This window comes from Homo sapiens, chromosome 1 (genome assembly GCF_000001405.40).
Source record: "Homo sapiens chromosome 1, GRCh38.p14 Primary Assembly".
NCBI classification, from domain to species: domain Eukaryota; kingdom Metazoa; phylum Chordata; class Mammalia; order Primates; family Hominidae; genus Homo; species Homo sapiens.
In genome coordinates, this window is record NC_000001.11 from 179079641 (window position 1) to 179096522 (window position 16882).

The following is a 16882-nucleotide window of genomic DNA, read 5'->3' on the forward strand; positions in this document are numbered from 1 at the left end:
AACATGGCGAAACCCCGTCTCTACTAAAAATACAAAAAAAAAAAAAAAGCGGGGGCGTGGTGGTGAACGCCTGTAATCCCAGCTACTTGGGAGGCTGAGGGGGAAGAATCGCTTGAACCGGGGAGGCGGAGGTTGCAGTGAGCCGAGATTGCACCACTGCACTCCAGCCTGGGCGACAGAGCAAGACTCCGTCTCTAAATAAATAAATAAATAAATAAATAAATAATAAAAATGTCTTGAAATCAAGTTGGTTGTCGAAGAACTTCCCAGCTAACCTACTTTATTTACAATGGGATGCTAAATCCAAGTCAGAACATCTCAGAAATGAGCAGGTAGCCCTACATAAAAGTTCCAAGTACAGATAATTCTTTCCACAACATCTTAAAACTTGGATTGTTTTAATAAACTATTGTTACTATTAATTTTTTCACCATAAATTCACTTATAAACCACCAGTATTAACTAAAGCCATCCTTGCCTCCTGTGTAGACCACCCAGAGCCTCCTCCATGGCTGGGTAGATACAAAAATAAAACTGGCCACGTATTGAGTGTTGATGATGTGCTCATTGAATGAGCTCATTTAATCTTCACAGCAGCCCTATGAGGGGACTATTTTATTATCCCTTTTTATAGGTGAGGAAACAGGCATGGGACGGTTCAGTAACATCCATGGTTGCACAAATAGAAAATGGTAATCACTATATTAGACTGCCATTCAGACTCAAACGACATTTGTTGAGTGAGTTAATTTTTTTTCTTTTCTCTTTTTTCTTTTTTTTTTTTTTTTGAGATGGAGCCCTGCTCTGTCACCCAGGCTGGAGTGCAGTGGTACCATCTTGGCTCACTGCAACCTCTGCCCCCTGGGTTCAAGCCATTCTCCTGCCTCAGCCTCCTGAGTAGCTGGGATTACAGATGCGCACCATCACACTCAGCTAATTTTTGGATTTTTAGTAGAGACTGGGTTTCACCATGTTGGCCAGGCTGGTCTCGAACTCCTGATCTCAGGTGATCCGCCCGCCTCGGCCTTCTAAAGTGCTAGGATTACAGGCGTGAGCCACCACACCCTGCCTAATTTTTTTTGGTTTTCCAATAAGCACTGTGGTGTATGTGCTGTTAACTGTCTCCGGTGGACTCCGCAAGCTCGATGTACACAGTGCTGGGCTGGTGCCATGGCTGCTACTCTATGAAAAGTTTTTGACATCACACTGAATGGCTGAGACACTATAAACATTTTACTTTTCAACTCAACCTCGTGTCCTAGCAAAGGTGCTTTATCTAGTTTCTGTAGCTGTTCGAATGAAAGGCACAAATTTGGTGAGCTGCTGAGAATGGAGCAGACCTGGCACGGTGTGATCTAAGAGACTGGGGTGAACAGATGAATCAAGTTGCCTGTGACATTTGTGAGACACGGTGCTAGTATTCACCTTACTGTCTGGAGGGCCCAACCTCAAAGCCACTAAACATATGACATTAGCCAAGTCCTCTGATCTCTCTAGACAGCAGTTTTCTCCTAAGACAAGACGGCTTTTTGGCTTGGCTGAAGTAAGCCAGGTGATTTTAAACAATGCATTAAGCTCTTCTGAAATCTAACAGCCTTGTTCCATGCTCCTCGCTATGGAGAAGAGAGCGCTGAGGGAAAGAGGCCCTGTAGTCTTTTGCCAATGGTGTCGGATGGGCTGCTCAGTCCCAGCACTTGAAAGTTGCAAACCTAGTCAAGAAAGTGCACACAGTACTTCGGATTTTTATGAGATATAATTACATTGACATGACGCCTCATGATTTACCCATGACTCGGGGGGTTTCCAAACTCCAAACACCTCCAGACTGGAGCCCGTCAATCAGCTTCCTCTTGCTTTTCGTGGACTCCCACTGTGGAAACCTGCTGGTGTTTTGCTGCGGTTTCATTTCCCTCTGCGGAGGAGCCAGGGCAACCTTGGCCAGACAGGCACCTAGCTGTGCCCTTCTTTCCAGGGCCTCTTCTCCACTCAGCTGACTCCCCTGGCCTGCCTAACGCTCCTGACTGAGACGGTTTTCCGGCTTCCTCTAACAGGTTGGCGGGAAGTTGATCTGCAAACGCGAGGCAAAGCAGGAGTGTCCTTATTCGGTAGGCCTCTGATGGGCCACCAGAGCCGTCCGAAAGTCCTAGCGGAGTGATTGACAGTGGCCATTTCAAAGCCTGAGTTCACCTTCTTTGCAACCACAATCACGACCCAGAATAAACTGCTTCCTGGAAGCCGGCTAGTTGCACCTGGCCTGAAGTCAGTCTCGGGACTGCCTCTCAGGACCCCAGACAGGGTTTCGGGTTCCCGCCTGGGTCACGTGTACGGAGGCTGCCAGTGCGCACTCAGCCCGGCCCGCCGGTCGCCACAGCAACACCAATCCCGGGTTCAAGCCCGCCTAGGAAGTGCGGTCCCCGCCTGACCGCCCCGGGCTTAAGGGAGCCTGGCTAGGCCGGCAGCCGGATGGTCCCGCAGCTCGGGGCCGGCCATGCTTCGCGGTCCGTGGCGCCAGCTTTGGCTCTTTTTCCTGCTGCTGCTCCCGGGCGCGCCTGAGCCCCGCGGCGCCTCCAGGCCGTGGGAGGGAACCGACGAGCCGGGCTCGGCCTGGGCCTGGCCGGGCTTCCAGCGCCTGCAGGAGCAGCTCAGGGCGGCGGGTGCCCTCTCCAAGCGGTACTGGACGCTCTTCAGCTGCCAGGTGTGGCCCGACGACTGTGACGAGGACGAGGAGGCAGCCACGGGGCCCCTGGGTAAGACCCCGTCCCCACGGTCCGCCGTTCGCTGCGGAGCAGAGTGCGATCCGGGCGCGGCTGTGGTCGCCTCGCTCCTGTCCGGGGCGACATCTGGGCCCGCAGTCCTGCTCTGCTCAGCCGCCGGTACCGGCTGTGGGCGGGGGCAGCCTCCGCGGAGCAGGGAGCCCCATCACCGCCCTTGCCCCACCCGCGTCCCCTGCGCACCCCCCTGGCGCCCGGCTTCCCGTCCCCCGCCTCCCCTGATCCCTGCGCTTTCCAGATTCTCTCGCACCGCCTGTGCCATCTCCCAGCCCACCCTGGCGTTATTCGAAGGTGTTGCTCTTGACAGCTCTAGGGAACGTCCGCTGTGGACATGCCTGGTGACTGCCGTCTCCCTTGCTGCTTTTGGACGCAGGGCTTGAGGACCGACAGTGGGCCGAGTCGGGGCTGGGAGTTAGAATCTGAGTTCTGGGTGTCCCTCTGTCCCTGACAAGTTGTGTGGCAAGGTTGCCGCATCACTGTAGAGCACCGGATGGTCTCCTCTCGGTCTCACAGCTCCTCCTTTTCCAGGCTGGCGCCTTCCTCTGTTGGGCCAGCGGTACCTGGACCTCCTGACCACGTGGTACTGCAGCTTCAAAGACTGCTGCCCTAGAGGGGATTGCAGAATCTCCAACAACTTTACAGGTTGGACCCCGCATGGCTTCAAGGGGCTAGGGATCTGTGGGGAGGGGAGGCAGTCCAGGGGAAATGGTTAGATGCAAGGGACCTTTCGTCATCCTGCCCAGCCTCCCGACAAGCAGGAACTGCCACAGTCTGACTGAAGTTTTGAGGGAGTACCAAATGCTTGAGTCAGGGAAGCCCCTTTTTAGCCTCTAGCTTAATAGCCCAGGCAAACTGAGCTGTTTGTCAGGCCCAGAGCACCTTGTTTCACTCTAAACAGAAACAGCTACCTCTCAGAGGGGGCTGGAACTATCCAGAGAGAACTGATCAGAAATTCTGGGTTGTGATTAAAAGTGTCCCTTTCTTTTCTTTTTTTTTTTTGAGACGGAGGCTTGCTCTGTCACCCACACTGGAGTGCAGTGGTGCGATCTCAGCTCACTGCACCCTCCGCCTCCTGGGTTCAAGCAATTTTCCTGCCTCAGCCTCCCGAGTAGCTGGGATTACAGGTGCCTGCCACCACGTCCGGCTAATTTCTGTATTTTTAGTAGAGGCGGGGGGGGGGGGGGGGGGCGGGTTTCACCATGTTGGCCAGGCCGGTCTCGAACTCCTGACCTTGTGATTTGCCTGCCTTGGCCTCCAAGAGTGCTGTGATTACAGGCGTGAGCCACTGTGCCATGGCAACCAGTATTTTCTAATTAGTTTGGGTTGCTTGATTTGCATATCGCAGTTGATTTGCATTTTCACTCTCACAAGGTGATCTTTGGCCCCATGTTCTGAAACCTGTTCAGACATTTGCAAAAGCTTCCTCTCTTTTCCCCAGGAGCAATTTCTTGCCCAGAGTTCTCCTGATCCCAGGTCCTTCAATCTCCATAAATGAGGCCCACCCCAGATATTTAGGTCACTTAATTGGCCAAAATGCCAATAACACAGTGTGTTTAGGGACACAGTCTGGCTCAGGACAGAAGATAGGACTACATACAGGTCAGGAAGTCTTAATTTGGATCACTGCTGACTTGGATAAGACCCTAGGTAGCAATTAGCAAGTTACTTTCTGTCCTCAACATGCCTTTTGTTCGACAAGGGCCTGGATATCCAAATTGTTCTGGCCAGCGGATTGGAGACCCCTCCTAGTCGTGCCTCTTCCTTGCTGGCAAACTGAAGAGTCCTTCCCAAGTGTCCGTTTCCTCAGCTGTATTTTATTTTATTTTTTTTACTTATTTATTTTGAGACCAAGTCAGTCTCTGTCACCTAGGCTGGAGCAATCTCGTCTCACTGCAAACTCTGCCTCCCAGGTTCAAGCGATTCTCTTCCCTCAGCCTCCCGAGTGGCTGGGATTATAGGTGCCCACCACCATGCCCAGCTAATTTTTGTATTTTTAGTAGAGAGGGGGTTCACCATGTTGGCTAGGCTGGTCTCGAACTCCTGACCTCGTGATCCGCCCGCCTCAGCCTCCCCAAGTGCTGGGATTACAGGCGGGAACCACCTCGCCCAGCCAGTTTCCTCAGCTTTAAATGGGAATAATAATGCCTGCCTTGCAGAATTGTGAAGACCAAATGTAAAACACTTAGCCCAGTTCTGAATACAGAGAAAAAAGCAGCAAATGTTAATTTTCTTCTATGTCACTACTACTTTTGGAGCAATGTGTGATGCCCTCAATGTTTTATCATAGACCTTGACCTCCCAAGGCTCCAGAATACCTGCTCTGGGCTGGCTTAAGGTGTTCAACCAATTGATCCTGGATTTGGAATGCTCACCCACAGCTGGCCGCACACCCTGCCTGTCTGCACTGTGGCTCCTGGTAGCGCCATCTCCAAATCCTACAACCTCACGTCTGACAGGAGGAAGTTAGACCTAGCAGAAGGCTTTGCACACTGGAGCTGCTCTCACCAAGTGTTGGCTGAATTGAATGAGAATGAATAAAATCAGGCTTCTCCATAAAACAGGGAGCCCTGAAACCAAGGGATGGGAGCAGCCTCAGGACATGGGGGACAGGGTTCCTCCCTAGACAGGTCTGTGCCAACTGTTCTGGGTATCTGCAGGATCTTTAGGAAGGGTGATTCCACTCTCCCTGAGTCCCATCTTGATTTCCCAAACTCTTCAAAAAGTAGTCCTTGAGGCTGGGCGCAATGGCTCACGCCTGTAATCCCAGCACTTTGGGAGGCCGAGGTGGGCGGATCTCGAGGTCAGGAGTTCAAGACCAGCCTAGCCAACCTGGTGAAACCCGTCTCTACTAAAAATACAAAAATTAGCTGGGTATGGTGGTGGGCACCTGTAATCCCAGCCACTCGGGAGGCTGAGGCAGGAGAATCGCTTGAACCAGGGAGGCGGAGGTTGCAGTGAGCTGAGATTGCGCCACTGCACTCCAGCCTGGTGACAGAGCAAGACTCCATCTCAAAAAAAAAAAAAAAAAGAAAGTAGTCCTTGAATCCCTTCTGCTACAAAGTCTGCCCTCTGGCTTCTTATTCTAAGGCCAAACAGGAGGAGTAACTGATTCCACCCGAGAGAGATTCAGAGTTGCTTGGTTTCTTGGCTGTTGGCTGTTGTGGTGGATGGGCCTGTGTGTGCCTTTTGCTGTGACTACCTCTTTCCTGTCCTTAGGCTTAGAGTGGGACCTGAATGTGCGGCTGCATGGCCAGCATTTGGTCCAGCAGCTGGTCCTAAGAACAGTGAGGGGCTACTTAGAGACGCCCCAGCCAGAAAAGGCCCTTGCTCTGTCGTTCCACGGCTGGTCTGGCACAGGCAAGAACTTCGTGGCACGGATGCTGGTGGAGAACCTGTATCGGGACGGGCTGATGAGTGACTGTGTCAGGATGTTCATCGCCACGTTCCACTTTCCTCACCCCAAATATGTGGACCTGTACAAGGTGAGGCCGACCAGGGCTGGGGTGAGGCCTCTGTGCTGGGAGGGAGACCCTTCTGCCAGCCCTTCCTTGCAAGGAAATGGGCTCTGGAGAAGCCTGGGGAGGTGGGGACAGGTGGCAGAACCTGTGACAGAGCCACTCCGTCCACTCCTCACAGAGGCCCTTAGCATGTGGAAGAGACTGGCGTTCCAAACACCACCCCCTGCTCTGTCCCCAAACAGCCACACTCGAGAGGCTGGACACTGCGCTTAAGCAGGGACGCTGCATGTTGATTTTTGTTGTAGAAGTAGTGAAATGTCACAGACTGCAGTGTAGAACAGAGAAAAGCAAAAACTGTCAGACTCTCCACACGGACACACCCTTGTCAGCTAAGGAGAGGTAGCATTTTATGTGCTGCCTTTGGTGCGGAACCTTTCCCCAGGCTCTTTGTCATTGTAACTACGTTGGACAGAAAGTTGTATATCCTGCCTTTTTAAAATTTAAACAGGCCTATTGGCCGGACATGGTGGCTCACGCCTGTAATCCCAGCACTTTGGGAAGCCTAGGTGGGTGGATCACGAGGTCAGGAGATCGAGACCATCCTGGCTAACACGGTGAAACCCCGTCTCTACTAAAAATACAAAAACTTAGCTGGGCGTGGTGGCGGGCACCTGTAGTCTCAGCTACTCGGGAGGCTGAGGCCGGAGAATGGCGTGAACCCGGGAGGCGGAGCTTGCAGTGAGCCGAGATCGTGCCGCTGCACTCCAGCCTGGGCAACAGAGCAAGACTCCATCTCAAAAAAAAAAAAAAAAAAGAAAACAGGCCTATCCTATCTTACCTGATTTTTTCATGTCTTCCCGTATCAGCTTATTATATACCAGCAAGTGGATGGACAGAAATTTCCTTGGCTGTTCTGCCATTTTGGGTTTCTTCTACTAATTCAGCCATGTAGTATTGAAAACATACCAGAAGAGCCTGACAGAATTGACTGCACCTGTCTTTGGCTTTGTTTTAATATTTGGAATGTGTTCACCTGGGAAGATTATGTCAGCGTCTGAGGACAGAGGCTGCCCGCGTCTCCTGGCAGTTTCCATATGGCTTTGGAGGGCAGGGGCAGGCTGAGCTGGGCCTTTCCGGGCAGAACTGTCTGGCTTAGACTGTGGCAAGACTGCTGCAGCCCCAGCTTCCCTGCTGTGAAAACTGGCATGTGCATAGCCCTGCACCTCACACTTTCCCCCACAAAGGTGCACCCAGTAGACAGGGAGTGTGGGCTCTGGAGTGGGAGCTGGCCCTGAATAATATATTCCCTGCCCATTTCGATGAACATTGCAAAGAACCATCTTTTCACTTGAGGGTTTACTGTCTTGCCTGGGGCAAGGAACCCTCCACAGCTTGCAGGAGCCAAGTTGGATGTTGGTTAGGCCCAGTCAGTCCTTCAGCAGGCTTGCTCCCCTGAGATCTCGGCCCAGCCAGGGTGCCAGTGGGCGCTCTGCACCCGGGAGTTCAGGGCAGGGGACTGTGGCTGCCTCTGGGCACATGAGCCTCTCTTTGCCCATCACCCCTGTATGAAAGCTCAACTCCTATCCACCCCCTGGGAATAGACCCTGAGCTTAAACAGGGAAGTTGCGCCTGGATGTTTTTGTTGTAGAAGTAATGAAAGTTTGCGGGTGTGTGGACATTGTTAGCTCCTGGATGGGATGTAGTCCTGGAGAGGAGAGAGCAGGGCTGGAGCAGGGGCCCCTTCTCAAGGGCAGAAGGGCTTCTCCCCACTCCTTTCTAGGCTGTCTCCTAGTCCCCAAGCTGGCTTCACCTTGTTTAGCTTTCAACCCTCAGGGTGCTTGAGAATCACCTGGGAGCTGGTCAGATGCAAATGTCCTAGGCCCTCCCCAAGAGCTTGGATTTGATAGGTTCTGGCGGGGGGCGGGGGGTGGGGAACCCAGCCCCAGGGGGTCCATTGCACATGCCCAGGGGAAACCACGCCCTCAAGGCCGGAGGTGGAAGGAGTCACCACTTCCCCAGCTGCTCCCTATATCCCGTGCAGGAGCAGCTGATGAGCCAGATCCGGGAGACGCAGCAGCTCTGCCACCAGACCCTGTTCATCTTCGATGAAGCGGAGAAGCTGCACCCAGGGCTGCTGGAGGTCCTTGGGCCACACTTAGAACGCCGGGCCCCTGAGGGCCACAGGGCTGAGTCTCCATGGACTATCTTTCTGTTTCTCAGGTGGGTTCTGGGGAACAATAGTCAGGAGGGCTGGGGGAGGGGAAGATACTAGCTGGCAGTGGAGGCTTCCACACGCCCCCAGGTTCAGAACCTTTCCTCAAGAAAAAACAGCACAAACTCTGGTACAGAAAGCAGCAGCCAGCTGTGGTAGCTCACGCCTGTAATCCCAGCACTTTGGGAGGCCAAGGCGGCCGGGTCCCTTGAGTCCAGGAGTTCAAGACCAGCCTGGGCAACATAGTGAAACCCCATCTCTACAAAAAATATAAAAATTAGCTGGGCGTGGTGACATGTGCCTGTAGTCCCAGCTACTCGGGAGGCTGAGGTGGGAGAATCGCTTGAACCCAGGAGGTGGGGGTTGCAGTGAGCTGAGATCGGGCCACTGCACTCCAATCTGGGTGACAGATTTTTTGAAACAAATTCCCAAGGCAAGCCTGGTTAGAGAACGGCATAGTCTCCCATCAAGTCCAACACGGCCATTTCTTCCTTCAGCCTTGGAAGTCTGTTTCTTCTCCGATTATGAGAAGTCATCACTGGCTTAAAATCCAGGGTATACGGGTTGAGAAACCCATGCTTCCTCTGAGTACCTGTAGTTCAGTTGTGACGCTACCATGCGGGACCCAGTCACTGAATCACTGCACTGAGGTTCCTGTGCTTTCACTGACATCTTTGCGTGAAGCCAACTTAGAAATAACTTGTCCAACCTCATCTTTTTGCGGAGGCTCCAACTGGGGGAGTCCTGTGTCTGTTACAAGTCAAGTTTGGGCCCTTGTTGACCCAATTTGAAGGCTTCACAACAGCTCGAGCCTCGGTAGGAGTCAAACTGAGTGCTCCCTTCCCAACTCCACTCCGGCCTCGCCTTCCCCAGGCCAGCACTTGCTTGCTGGGGGGGTTTCCCAAGCTGCAGGGCTCACTTTGTGAGGATGGGGAAGTTGGTGAGGGGATGCTGATTTTCATCCTAGCTTGGGGAGTGTGGAGGGGTGAAGGGTTGAGCTGTGGAGGGCAGATCTAGTTTCGGTGTGGATTCACAAGAGGAAGTGAAACAGGGTCCAGGCGCAGTGGCCTGTCTACTAAAAATACAAAAATTAGCTGGGTGTGGTGGCAGGTGCCTGTAATCCCAGCTACTCGGGAGGCTGAGGCAGGAGAATCACTTGAACCTGGGAGGCAGAGGTTGCAGTGAGCTGAGATCACACCATTGCACTCCCGCCTGGGCAACAAGAGAGAGACTCCATCTCAAAAAAAAAAAAAAAAGTGAAACAGGTTTAAGCCGTTGCTGGGTTGGGATTTCTGTGTAGTGGCGGGAAGCCCTTCCTGGTCTGCAGGTGAAGCTGTGGAGACTTAAAATGCATTGCGAAGTGGGAGGGGAGTGGGGCGCCCAGGGTGATTTTTAAGAGGAGAGAGAGATCTCTTGCATGATTTGGGTGCCCAGAACCAGGAGGTGAGGACAATACATTCTTCCAGTTAGTTCTTATTCCCACGTTCTGTACTATTTCCCACCTTCGGAGGCAGCCGGGCTCACCTCTCCTCCTGTTACAGAGAGTCAGGTGGGGGCTGCAACATGCAGATGAGCCTGAACAGAGGAGTCACCTGGGTGCTCTGTGGTTTCTCCACCTGAGCCCTGGGTCGGGCAGTCCAGGGGACCCTCTGAACCACCGATGCGGAAGCCAGTCCTTCCCACGGCACGGAGCAAAGCATGGTGACCCAGCCTCGGGCCTCCCTTTCGCTTCCACAGGGATCTCCCTTGCGCTGAGTGTCTTCCTCCTCCCTCTCCCCGAGACAGGGGTCTCCCGGCTTCAGGTGGTGCCGGCCACACAGACTCTCCCACCCACTTCTCAGCTTGGAAAACCTCACCTGGGCCGTGATTGCCTAACGTGACCCGGTGACCCTGCAGTCTCCAGGCAAATGTTATAGCCTTTGTAGTATTTTGGCCGTCGACCTGACAGCACCACCCTCCAGCTGCCTGTCCTTTCCCCCAGTGACCCAGCCTGGGTGGACTGTCCGAGGCCATGTGGTTGTGGGCGGGGTGGGGGGGGGGGCCTGCGGGAAAGCCGCCTGCCAGACTCCTCCATGCCACAGCAGGGTGGGGAGGTCCCCCAGGAGCCTTTGACAAGGATGTAAAGGACACATTAAAAAGATGTGGCCTTAGGTTCTAGTGGCTCTGGTGTGGGCCTGTGCCCAGCCTTTACGAGCCAGAGGTTCCCCCCTCCAGCCGAGGGCTGGGCTGACATAGTCTGTGCCCAGGCTGTCCAGGGCAGCAGCCTCTCAACCTCAAGTTCTCAGGTAGTCCAGCGATGGCTGGGAGGAGACACACTGTTGATATTGGAGTCTCTGGACTTGATTTCTATAATGAGCTTCAGTTAATCATCCACTGTAATAAGGATTCTAGGGCATGAAAGAAAAGCACAGCTGATTCAAACTGCTAGAGTGACCAAGTCATACTGCACGAAGGAAGAGCAGCAGTTTAATTCTGAAATAAATCCTAAACCTGCTGTTTGAAGTGAGTTGCCAGTGGCTTTGCTGGCTTCCTCCTGGTGGCAGGAGAGAGGAGGTGGGAGCTGAAGCAGGGAGTTGAGTGTGGTGCTCAGAGCCTGTCCTTCATCCGGGCCAGGGAATTGGGGCCGGTGACTGGGCACCAGGAAAGTAACATTACTTCGCCCACTTCTGCCAAGTATAGAAGGCTGCAGGAATGGGCTCACGTGGCAGGACAGGAACGTGGAACTCTGCGATCGGAGCTGCTGCCCTGTTCTCATGGGAGCTGTAAAGTGACAAGGGTAATTAAAGCCTGTTTCCTTTGTGCTGTTGTCAGGAAAAGGATAGAAAGGACTTTGAAAAATTACAGAACTACACAAATAGAAATTATTTGTGGAGTCGTGGTGGGCCTTGCGCTCCAGCCCCCAGTGTCTGTTGGCTGCCTGTTGACTAATGAGAGGACAGCTTAGATTGGTCCAGTCCTGACTTTATAAATGAGAACACTAAGGCTCAAAGAGATGACTGAGTCTATGTCTGTTCTTTAGGAAAGATGTAGCAGTTAGCATGGGGTTTGTTACCAGTAACAACCAGTTCTCTGGTGAGGCCTGAAGTCCCCTTCCTTTGGGGTCTTAGGGATAAGGGCTGGTGAGATCAGCCCTGGCAGGGGCTGGAGACGGGGGATGAGGGCTGGTTGAGAGAGGTGCCCTCTGGCCCCTCCAGACTTCCCAGCGATCCAGGTCAGCAGATGAGCTGGGAGGCTGTGGAAGGGAATTGAGGTGCTCCAGAAAGACAGTGTCTGTCTAAAGGTAGAACGCTGGTGCCAGAGTGGTGGTCCTGAAGATGGGAGGGGCGGCGCGTAGAGAGGGGCCCCAGGTTATGGGTCAGTGGGTGAGATTAAAGCCTCTAAAGTGGTGGAAGAAAAGGGACTTTGGCTATGGGACAAAACAGGAGAGATTGAGAAGGGTGGAGATGGTGCAGACACATGTGCAGAGATGTCCCTTTATTTACTAAAGGCTGAGTGCCTGATACGCACATAGCACTGGGGTTACAGAAATAAACAGGCCAAGCTTCCTGCCCTATGTGATGGGACCTCTCTTTACCCATGTAAGCACCTTACAGAATGGAGAAGGCCCTGGAGTCCATGCCCCTAGGATGGGGTGAGGGAGTATCACTCTGTGGGGTTTCACAGCACCCTGGATCCTGCCTTCCAGCCCCTGCCAAGGTAAACAGTGCTGCCTGCCTCCTGTGGGGAATGCAGGATGGGGCAATGCCCTGGCAGCAGGGTCTTGCCTCAGCTGATGCAACTGTGGCTGCTCCTGTGTGCACAGATCATGTGCCTGGAAGGCCTTCCTGCAGCAGGGGCAGTGTCAGAAAGTGGAAGAGTGGTGTGAGCAGCTTCCCCGGGGAAAGCCTGGCTGAGCAACTGACCTTGAGCAAGCACTGCAGATGGCCCTTGTTCCTGCCGGGCTCCTCCAGCTGGGAGCTCTCAGCCCCTGGTAAATTCTGGCAGTGAAAGACACATTAGCACCTCCCCCTACAATGAGGCACCTAGCTAGACAACTTGGCTGTCCGGGCTTAACCTGCGTGGCAGGGAAGGACGCCTGCCCAGCCTTAGCCTCTACGCAATGGTGGAGGCAGGGAGGGAGAGAACCACACAGCTCCCCTCATTTCCCAGCAGCCCCCATGGAGCCTAGTCAACAGGGTGTGGTCACAGGCTAAATGAGCAAAGATGTGAGCTAATATACTGGTAGGTGTCATGGGGGCTTTCAGAGCTGGGTAAGGAGGGAAAGAGATGGAGATACTGGTTCCCCACTCCTTAACCTGCCACCTGCCTTCCCTGTCCTTTACCCTCCCTCATTCTGCTGGACCTGAGGAAAATGCAAGGGAGGCTAGGCCTAGTGGCTCATGCCTGTCATCCCAACACTTTGGGAGACTGAGGTGGGAGAATCACTTGAGCCTAGGAGTTTGAGACCAGCCTAGGGAACATAGTGAGACCTCGTCTCTACAAAAAAATTTTAAAAATAGGGCCGGGCACACCTGTCATCCTAGCACTTTGGGAGGCGGGCAGATCAGCTGAGGTCAGGAGTTTGAGACCAGCCTGGCCAACATGGTGAAACCCTGTCTCTACTAAAAAAATTAGCTGGGCATTGTGGCATGTGCCTGTAATCCCAGCTACTTGGGAGGCTGAGGCAGGAGAATCTCTTGAATCCGGGAGGCAGAGGCTGCTGTGAGCTGAGATCACGCCACTGCACTCCAGCCTGGGCAACAAGAGTGAAACTCTGTCTCAAGAAAAAAAAAAATAGCTGGGTAGGGTGGCATGTACCTGCAGTCTCAGCTACTTAGGAGGCTGAGGTGAGAGGATCAGCTGAGCCTGGGGAGGTGGAGGCTGCAGTGAGCCAAAATCACGCCACTGTACTCCAATCTGGGTGACAGAATGAGACTGTCTCCAAAAAGAGAGAAAGCACGGGGAAGTGCAAGTGCATTGATGTGGAGCTGGGCAAGGACTTGGTTTAAGGAGCTGGTGGAGCTGGCTGAGGCTGCAGCCCAGGGAGGGGAGGAGAGTGCAGTGAGGTGGGGGAGAAGTATGCCTGGGCCGTGGAGGGCGGAGGAAGGCCAAGTCTCCACTACCTCTGTCCCAGCTTCCCTGCTGGTGGCTCTACGGTTGCATCTTCTCTCCTTATCCCCTTTCTCCCTCCTATCTCTAACCCAAATCACTTTCTGTGCTTCAGACCCGTAATTCCAGTTGCCCAGTGATATCACAACCTGAGAGAGATCACAGGCAAGCAAAAAACACTCAAACGTGTGTAAAACCAAACTTTCATCTCCACCTTTCCGTGTTCCACCTCTGTTAAGGGGGACAGCAAGCAGCTTGAGGCTAACGCTTGTTCTTTGATGACCTCCTTTCACTTCTCACATCCATCAGTTACAGGGTTTTTCAATTGTGCCTCCATAACTAATTCTTAAATCCTCCTTTCCATCCCTTCTCCATGATCCATAAGCTCAAGTCCATGCAAATGGCAGACAAAGCCCTCCTCACCTTAGCCAGCCTTTCATGCCTGTGCTCCTCTGGCGCACCCAGGCCTAGACACTTCCCTTCCTTGCCAAGTGTCTGATGATCACTACTTGGTCTTTATTTGCTCAGAAGCCTCATCCTCCCTCTGAAGCCTTCTCCTTAGAACTCAGTCACTCCTCCATTAGCGCTTGCCACACTGTCCTGGAACCGAATACACGGATGCCCCTCAGACCACACAGAAGAACCATATCTTACCATCTTTTCATGCTCCCTGCACTTAGCACAGTCTCAGTAAGTGTGTGTCAAGAGGGAACAAGAGAGAATGGGTGGCAAAACTGGACAGTGTCTTTTCTGTGCAGACCTTTGGGTTGTGAGGTTGTGACAAGGTCTCCTGGAAGAGAGAGAAGGTCCACGCCCCTCAGCCTCTATTCTTCCAGGCACTAATGCATTGGTTTCAGCGGTGAGATAACATATATGGAAGCTAAATATAAACAAATGGGTTAACAAGCTCTTGTCTCTTTCAGTAATCTCAGGGGCGATATAATCAATGAGGTGGTCCTAAAGTTGCTCAAGGCTGGATGGTCCCGGGAAGAAATTACGATGGAACACCTGGAGCCCCACCTCCAGGCGGAGATTGTGGAGACCATAGGTGAGTAACTGACTCAATATGCCTCTGGTGAGAGCCACAGCTGGTGATAATTAATGTGTTTGTTGGAATGTGTGTTTATGAAGCAGACAGGGTACTTGGGAACACAGAGGGCAGACTATAATCATCTCACATTGTCAACCCTGGGTGGGCACAAGAAAAGTGGTAAGAAAGCCTGAGCTCCTTTTCTGGGAATGCTTGGAAATAGTAGTTTGCACTGGCCCCAAGAACAGGCGCAGTGGTCTCTGAAGCCTGAGACTCTGAGTCTCACTGCAAGACTTTACCTAAAGGAGACACAGCTGTAGAGTTCTTGACATACGCTGCAGACAGCACTCCTGGAGTTGAGAGATGAGATCCAACCTCACCCAGCCCCTTCAGTCGGGGCCAGGTGTGGTGGCTCACACCTGTAATCCCAACACTTTGGGAGGCTGAGGCGGGCGGATCACTTGAGTCCAGGAGATCTAGACCAGTCTGGCCAACATAGTGAAACCCCGTCTCTAGAAAAAAAACAAAAATTAGCCAGGTGTGGTGCTGTACGCCTGTGGTCCCAGTTACTCACAGGCTGAGATGGGAGGATCCCTTGAACCTAGGAGGTGGAGGCTGCAAGGAGCCCAGATCTCACCACTGCACTCCAGCCTGGTTGACAGAGCAAGCCCCTGTTTCAAAGAAACCAACAGCAACCCCCACCCCCGCTAAATTCCAGCTAGGTTCAGTCCTAGGTCAGACTCCATGTAACTTTGGTCTTGCTTTCAGACAATGGCTTTGGCCACAGCCGTCTTGTGAAGGAAAACCTGATTGACTACTTCATCCCCTTCCTGCCTTTGGAGTACCGTCACGTGAGGCTGTGTGCACGGGATGCCTTCCTGAGCCAGGAGCTCCTGTATAAAGAAGAGACACTGGATGAAATAGCCCAGATGATGGTGTATGTCCCCAAGGAGGAACAACTCTTTTCTTCCCAGGGCTGCAAGTCTATTTCCCAGAGGATTAACTACTTCCTGTCATGAAGGCTAGAGGAAGACTTCCTGGAACTGCCTTTCTTCCACTAACAGGACCCTGGGACCTGTAGGAGCACCCCGTTTGGGACTGTGAGGTGTTTGAGGGTGTGGACTGGCATCCAGCAGCCACTAACAAACACACAACTGGTGTGTAAAAGGCAGGCCTTACATTAGAAGCCAAGCCAATCCTTTTTCTTTTTTTTGGAGGTCCCACCGAGATAGATAGGAACTTGGATTGCTGAATTCAAAAACAGAGCCCATTCTTAAGATCACTTGGTGCCTTAAAGACACGCATTCCAAAGTGGAATGTGGTTGAAGAAAGTGGGCCAGGTGGTTGAAGAAAGCCATGTGGGAGCTCAGCAAATCCCAAGGGCTTATTATGACACTCCAGATGGTCTCCTTAGCATCTCAGCTCTTCTGCAAGGAAGAGCTTGGGTGTTAGGCCTCAGAGGCTGTAGGGTCCTTGGGTTACAGAGCCGGGGAGAACGAAGTTCTGTGACCCAGGGGTGGAGAATACACTCTAGGTTTGCAGGCTGGTGGGCTTTCAAATTGGTACTTCCAGAGGAAAGCCAAGCTGCTTCTGTTGTGAGCGAATCAGCCAAGAGCCTGAGGCTGAAGGGAAAAGTACACAGAGGAAGATATTTTACAAACCAGGTCAGTGTAGGCCAAGACTTATGGTCTACAGATTTTGGCGGGGGAGGGGGGACCTTTTCAAAGACAATAGGGGGTCTTGACATGTTTGTTGTATGTAAAGATGATAAGATTAAAATTTTTGATTTTCCTAAAATCCTTGGCGTACTTTCTGTTTCTGAGACCTAGCAAAATTTCAAACAAACACTGGGTAATCCTGATAAGGCCTGGCAGAGACAGGGCAGATGCTGGCACACACGGAGCTGGCAGGGTATGTGACTGGTCTGCCTGTCTAGTCTGTTTGCTTTGGGACCACATCAGTGAAGCCAAGTCATGCCAACCTCCTACTGAAGAGACTCCCATAGCACATTGCTCTTATATATGAAAATGTTCACTCCTGTACTCTCAGCTATAAAAAGAAAAGCAGTCATTCTGAGGATTAAATGGCACCGTGTAGACATGTAGCACTGTGCCTAGACACAGTGTTCATTATGTGCCTTTCCCCTTTTCTTGGTTCTTCTCCCATGCCTCTGGAATAACACAGGTCTTTTTTCCCTATGTTTTTTATATATTAATTATACACACATATAGAGTCAGGGTGTCACTATGTTGCCCAGGCTGGTCTGGAACTCCTGGGCTCAAGCTATCTTCCTGCCTCAGCCTCCCAAAGTGTTGGGATTATA

The 16882-nt window shown here is 52.5% G+C and overlaps 1 protein-coding gene across 1 annotated transcript, besides 8 other annotated features; it reads left to right on the forward strand.

The window, feature by feature from the left end:
• Positions 2405 to 2694: a silencer, noted in NCBI's record as "silent region_1585". NCBI's record gives its function as "represses an Ori minimal core promoter by ATAC-STARR-seq in GM12878 lymphoblastoid cells {active_cell/tissue: GM12878}" and the evidence as "EXISTENCE:reporter gene assay evidence [ECO:0000049][PMID:35858748]".
• On the forward strand, positions 2430 to 16356 carry TOR3A (torsin family 3 member A). Its single transcript, NM_022371.4, has 6 exons — positions 2430 to 2747; positions 3300 to 3413; positions 5988 to 6253; positions 8271 to 8449; positions 14453 to 14577; positions 15328 to 16356. The coding sequence occupies exons 1-6, from the start codon at positions 2489 to 2491 to the stop codon at positions 15576 to 15578; spliced, it is 1194 nt and encodes a 397-aa protein (NP_071766.2). The 5' UTR covers positions 2430 to 2488; the 3' UTR covers positions 15579 to 16356.
• Positions 2835 to 3004: a silencer, noted in NCBI's record as "silent region_1586". NCBI's record gives its function as "represses an Ori minimal core promoter by ATAC-STARR-seq in GM12878 lymphoblastoid cells {active_cell/tissue: GM12878}" and the evidence as "EXISTENCE:reporter gene assay evidence [ECO:0000049][PMID:35858748]".
• Positions 3995 to 4054: a silencer, noted in NCBI's record as "silent region_1587". NCBI's record gives its function as "represses an Ori minimal core promoter by ATAC-STARR-seq in GM12878 lymphoblastoid cells {active_cell/tissue: GM12878}" and the evidence as "EXISTENCE:reporter gene assay evidence [ECO:0000049][PMID:35858748]".
• Positions 6246 to 6746: an enhancer, noted in NCBI's record as "H3K4me1 hESC enhancer chr1:179055021-179055521 (GRCh37/hg19 assembly coordinates)". NCBI's record gives its function as "activates a minimal SCP1, AML or CMV promoter by ChIP-STARR-seq in naive H9 embryonic stem cells {active_cell/tissue: H9 hESC(naive)}" and the evidence as "EXISTENCE:reporter gene assay evidence [ECO:0000049][PMID:30033119]".
• Positions 7996 to 8897: an enhancer, noted in NCBI's record as "H3K27ac-H3K4me1 hESC enhancer chr1:179056771-179057672 (GRCh37/hg19 assembly coordinates)". NCBI's record gives its function as "activates a minimal SCP1, AML or CMV promoter by ChIP-STARR-seq in primed H9 embryonic stem cells {active_cell/tissue: H9 hESC(primed)}" and the evidence as "EXISTENCE:reporter gene assay evidence [ECO:0000049][PMID:30033119]".
• Positions 8898 to 9799: an enhancer, noted in NCBI's record as "H3K27ac-H3K4me1 hESC enhancer chr1:179057673-179058574 (GRCh37/hg19 assembly coordinates)". NCBI's record gives its function as "activates a minimal SCP1, AML or CMV promoter by ChIP-STARR-seq in primed H9 embryonic stem cells {active_cell/tissue: H9 hESC(primed)}" and the evidence as "EXISTENCE:reporter gene assay evidence [ECO:0000049][PMID:30033119]".
• Positions 11817 to 12317: an enhancer, noted in NCBI's record as "H3K27ac-H3K4me1 hESC enhancer chr1:179060592-179061092 (GRCh37/hg19 assembly coordinates)". NCBI's record gives its function as "activates a minimal SCP1, AML or CMV promoter by ChIP-STARR-seq in primed H9 embryonic stem cells {active_cell/tissue: H9 hESC(primed)}" and the evidence as "EXISTENCE:reporter gene assay evidence [ECO:0000049][PMID:30033119]".
• Positions 12318 to 12818: an enhancer, noted in NCBI's record as "H3K27ac-H3K4me1 hESC enhancer chr1:179061093-179061593 (GRCh37/hg19 assembly coordinates)". NCBI's record gives its function as "activates a minimal SCP1, AML or CMV promoter by ChIP-STARR-seq in primed H9 embryonic stem cells {active_cell/tissue: H9 hESC(primed)}" and the evidence as "EXISTENCE:reporter gene assay evidence [ECO:0000049][PMID:30033119]".
• Positions 16357 to 16882: the final 526 nt, after the last annotated feature.

Bases quoted from the DNA above. Each gene is read 5' to 3' on its own strand.
- TOR3A (NM_022371.4), top strand. From the start codon at position 2,489: ATGCTTCGCGGTCCGTGGCGCCAGCTTTGGCTCTTTTTCCTGCTGCTG. The intron at 8,450-14,452 runs GTGGGTTCTGGG...TGTCTCTTTCAG, and splicing joins ACTATCTTTCTGTTTCTCAG to TAATCTCAGGGGCGATATAA. The intron at 14,578-15,327 runs GTGAGTAACTGA...TCTTGCTTTCAG, and splicing joins GGAGATTGTGGAGACCATAG to ACAATGGCTTTGGCCACAGC.